The 3,649-nt window shown below is 56.1% G+C and overlaps 1 annotated feature.

Annotated features, from left to right (window-relative positions):
• Positions 3,129–3,350: a silencer, noted in NCBI's record as "fragment chr14:99827260-99827481 (GRCh37/hg19 assembly coordinates)". NCBI's record gives its function as "represses an EF-1alpha promoter that drives an FKBP-Casp9 reporter gene in an ReSE screen in HepG2 liver carcinoma cells {active_cell/tissue: HepG2}" and the evidence as "EXISTENCE:reporter gene assay evidence [ECO:0000049][PMID:32094911]".

The raw sequence follows: 3,649 nt of genomic DNA, 5'->3' as shown, positions 1-3,649 counted from the left end.
GATGTGATGTGGGGGCCTGCATTATTCAAGCCCATGGAATATTCAGGCTGCGGGCAGAGGAACTGAGCCTGTCAGGGCTGGCTGAGCTGCTTCCTCACAAAAGGCCCCTGCGGGCTGGGGAAGCTGCAGGGCTCTGGGAGGCAGCCTGTGCCTCGTGTTAGGACAGATGTGTCGTCCTGGCCTGACCCAGGAGGGGGCGAGGGCTGCCTCCGCCACCTGATGGATGTCCTCATTTGGGGGGAATGCATTATTGAGCACAAGGGCTCTTTCCAGTCAGACTCCTGGACAAAACCGCTCAGCTGTGTCCCCACTGGTGGGAGTCTGAGCCCCAAGCACGGAAGAACCCACTCCTAGGTGGAGCGGACCCAGCGCACCAGGCCCGGGAGGACCATTTGGGATGGTGAATGCTCTTCCCTGAATTCCTGTGGGGAGCGGACCTCCGGAAGAAAAACTGGAATTTGGGACATGTTGGTCCTGGCACTATTGTCAGTCATGTGACTGCAAACACACAAGACCCATCCGCTTGCAAACGCTGGTCCCCTGTGAAGGCTCAGCTCCCATGAGGTCAGTGTGAACCGGGTCCCTAGCAAGATGTGGACTTCCAGAGCCCATGCTTTCAGAATCAGGGAACTGGTTGTCCTTGAACTTTTGTCCTCTTGAACCCTTGAGTTGTAGAGTGTCAGCATGCCAGGGAGTAGACTTGTGGAATCCCAGAGTCATTGGCTCCAGAATCCTCATGGGTAGCTCTGGAACCTCAGAGTCAGCGGTTCTAGAACCGTGGGCGGTTCAGTCTGGAAACCTGAAGGCCTCACATTTGGGTGGCGCTCATTTGTCCCTCCTGGGGCAGAGCTTCTCTAGGAACACACGGTCATGGAGCGGGCGCCCGGCAGCATTGAAGGCAGGTGCCTCTGCTTTGCCGTTAATACTACAATTAAAGAAGAAATAGCGGGAAGTTCTTTCAACTGTGACTCAGCTGGTCAGAGAGCAATTAGGGTTGCCACTGCTGCTGCCTTCCTGAGCTGATTGCATGGGACAGAGGCACTCTGCCTTTTACCTACCTGCCGCCTCGGGACCTCAGGTGAGCGCACCTTCCTGGGGAGGCAGCCGCTGTGCCGTCTTCTCCAGCTGCTCTCTGGGCTCTGGGGGTTTGGGGACTTGGAAGGCTGTGTTTGGGATGGAAGCCCACCCATGTGGGATCCTTGGTCTTCCTCCCATTTTACAGACTGGGAATCTGCGCCTTGGAATGCCCTCTTTGGTCTAGACCAGGGCTTCTCAGCCTCAGCCTTATGCACACTTGGGGCTGGGTAATCCTTGGTGGTGGCTGTCCTGTGCTCTGCAGATATTTATCTGCTTCCCCGTCCTGTGCCCAGTGGCCGCCAGTAGCATTCCTCCTGTGTGACAACCAAAAATGTCTCCAGACACTGCTAAAGATCCTGGGGGCATGGGGCAGAATCTCCTCCAGTTGTGACCCGCTGGTCTCTGGAATGAATTCCTGAGCCTCGGTGTTGACTCCCCAGGGCCCCCTGCGCACCCTGCCAGCTGCTTGGCTGGCCCTTATTTCCAACCTGAAAGTCCCTCCCTAGGGTTCCTAGAGTAACCCAGTTACCCCTATGTTATAGAGAGGAAGGAAAGGTTCAGAGTTTCAAAAGGGGTTTCCATTGTTCAAGGTCCCAGCAGGTCCGTGGAAGAATTGGGATTCAACCTCACAGCTCTTTCAACTTTCCCACATGCTCTCCCTCATTCCCGCTGAGATCTTGAGCCCTCTGTCATTCCATACATATTTTTTGGGCACATACCATGGACCAGGCCCTATTCTAGGTAGTGAGGAAATCGCAGTCAACAAAACAGAAAAGGATCCTTGCCCTCATGGAGCAGGTGTTCACCTGGGGAAGGGTGTGTGTGTGTGTGTGTGAGAGAGAGAGAGAGAGAAGGGGGGAGACACACACACACACACACACACACACACACACACACACACACAGAGACAGAGAGAGAGAGAGAAAGACAGAGGATCCCATGGCTGCTCAAATGCCCCTCCTGAGCATGGCTGCTGACTCAAGGCTGTAAAACCTCCCACCAGCAATCAAATCAGGTGATCTCCATTCACCCTGATGTCCCAGGTAACTGGAGCCCAGGGAGGTGTTAGCTCTAGGCCCATCCTTCACCCGTGGATGCTCAACTTCCCAAAGAACAGGGCAGAGGAGTCAGGCCAGGGCAGCAGCTTCGGGCAAACCGCCCTTGGGATGCCTTTCCGCTCTCTCACATCCGTCCAAGTGTGAGCGAGCAGGCGTCTAGCCTGGCTGCGCAGACCCAGACCCCCATAAATTATGCACATCGCTCCCATTTCTAGATGGAGGCACTGGAGAAATTACAACTCCCATTAACTCAGGCGGCACAGGCGGCCCAGCTGTTTCTTCAGTTCTGGCCTCTCCCTGGCTGGAAGGGAAGGGTTTGGCCGTGGGAGGGCCGTGAAACTCCGCTTCTCTGGGCCTTAATGCACAGCGCGTGTAACTGCTTGGCAGAGAGAAGCCGTCTGTCCACAGCAGGTATGGTGCGGGTGCCTACTAGCTGGTCCGATGCCTGAAAAGCTAGAGGCAAACAGGCATGGAGAGGCCAAGGGACAGGTCAGCGGTGCTGCTGTTTGTTTCCCCGCTTTGTGGACATGGGCCTGGGGGCTTCGGGTTGCCTCCCCGGCCGTCCCCTTCTTCTCCACTCTGCTCTCGCCAGCACTCGTGTCCTTTCAGTCCCATGTATGCGGTGGCTGAGTTGCCCTTTCCCTCATGTGCCAAGAACAAGTGCCTGAGCACATGTGTAAGGCGACCCGAAGTGGGGCTAGCAGCAACTGTCCCGTCCACTAACCCAGTTTTGCCGATGAGAGAGGAAGTGACTCGCCCAAGATCACTGAGAAGTTAGCAGGGGAAGCAGCCAAGGGACTGAGTTCTCCTGCTATGGGCTCTTGCTAATAACGCTGGGTGGAGCCAGGCCTCGGAGCAGGCACCACGTGCCCTGGCCGAGGACAAAGTGGCACCAAGCTCCTCGCCCACAGCCACACCCCTGTGGCCCACTTGCTGATTGGCCCAGGGCTTAGGGTGGAGCCAAAGAGCACCATAGGTGGGCTTGGCTCTGTCCAATAGGAATGCTCGTTACTGGAGCCAAACAATCTGAGCCAATCAGAGCCTCTCATGGTGGGGCAGGGCTATAAATACCCAGGGAAGTCTGCGCTAGAGCTTCCAGGGCGTCTCCTCTGGAACAGTGGCTGTCTCGGGTCCCCACCATGTAGGTGCAGCTCCCTGCCTTCCACAGCAGCTTCTGGTGCCTGGCTAGAGTTCTGGGACTGAATTCACAGATCGTGCCACTGGCCCAAGGTGAGAACTCGGAAGGTCCCTGACCAGGGCCAAGATCAGGCCTCTGGAGGTGACTAGAGGCAGCTGGGTGATAGCTGGCCGGGTACAGTCTCTCAGTACCACCCCTGGTGAATTTCTCGCATCTACAGACTGTTGAATTTATATATTGCAAGGCCTAGTGATATTGATCAGCATCAATATTTATAAAAGAGGCAGCTGAGGCTGGGCGAGGTGGCTCATGCCTGTAATCCCAGTACTTTGGGAGGCCAAGGTGGGCGGATCATGAGGTCGGGAATTCGATACCA

The sequence above is a fragment of the Homo sapiens genome, chromosome 14 (assembly GCF_000001405.40).
Source record: "Homo sapiens chromosome 14, GRCh38.p14 Primary Assembly".
In the NCBI taxonomy this organism is placed as follows: Eukaryota; Metazoa; Chordata; class Mammalia; order Primates; family Hominidae; genus Homo; species Homo sapiens.
Note: the sequence above shows the minus strand (reverse complement) of the source record. Positions and strands in the feature narration are given on the sequence as shown.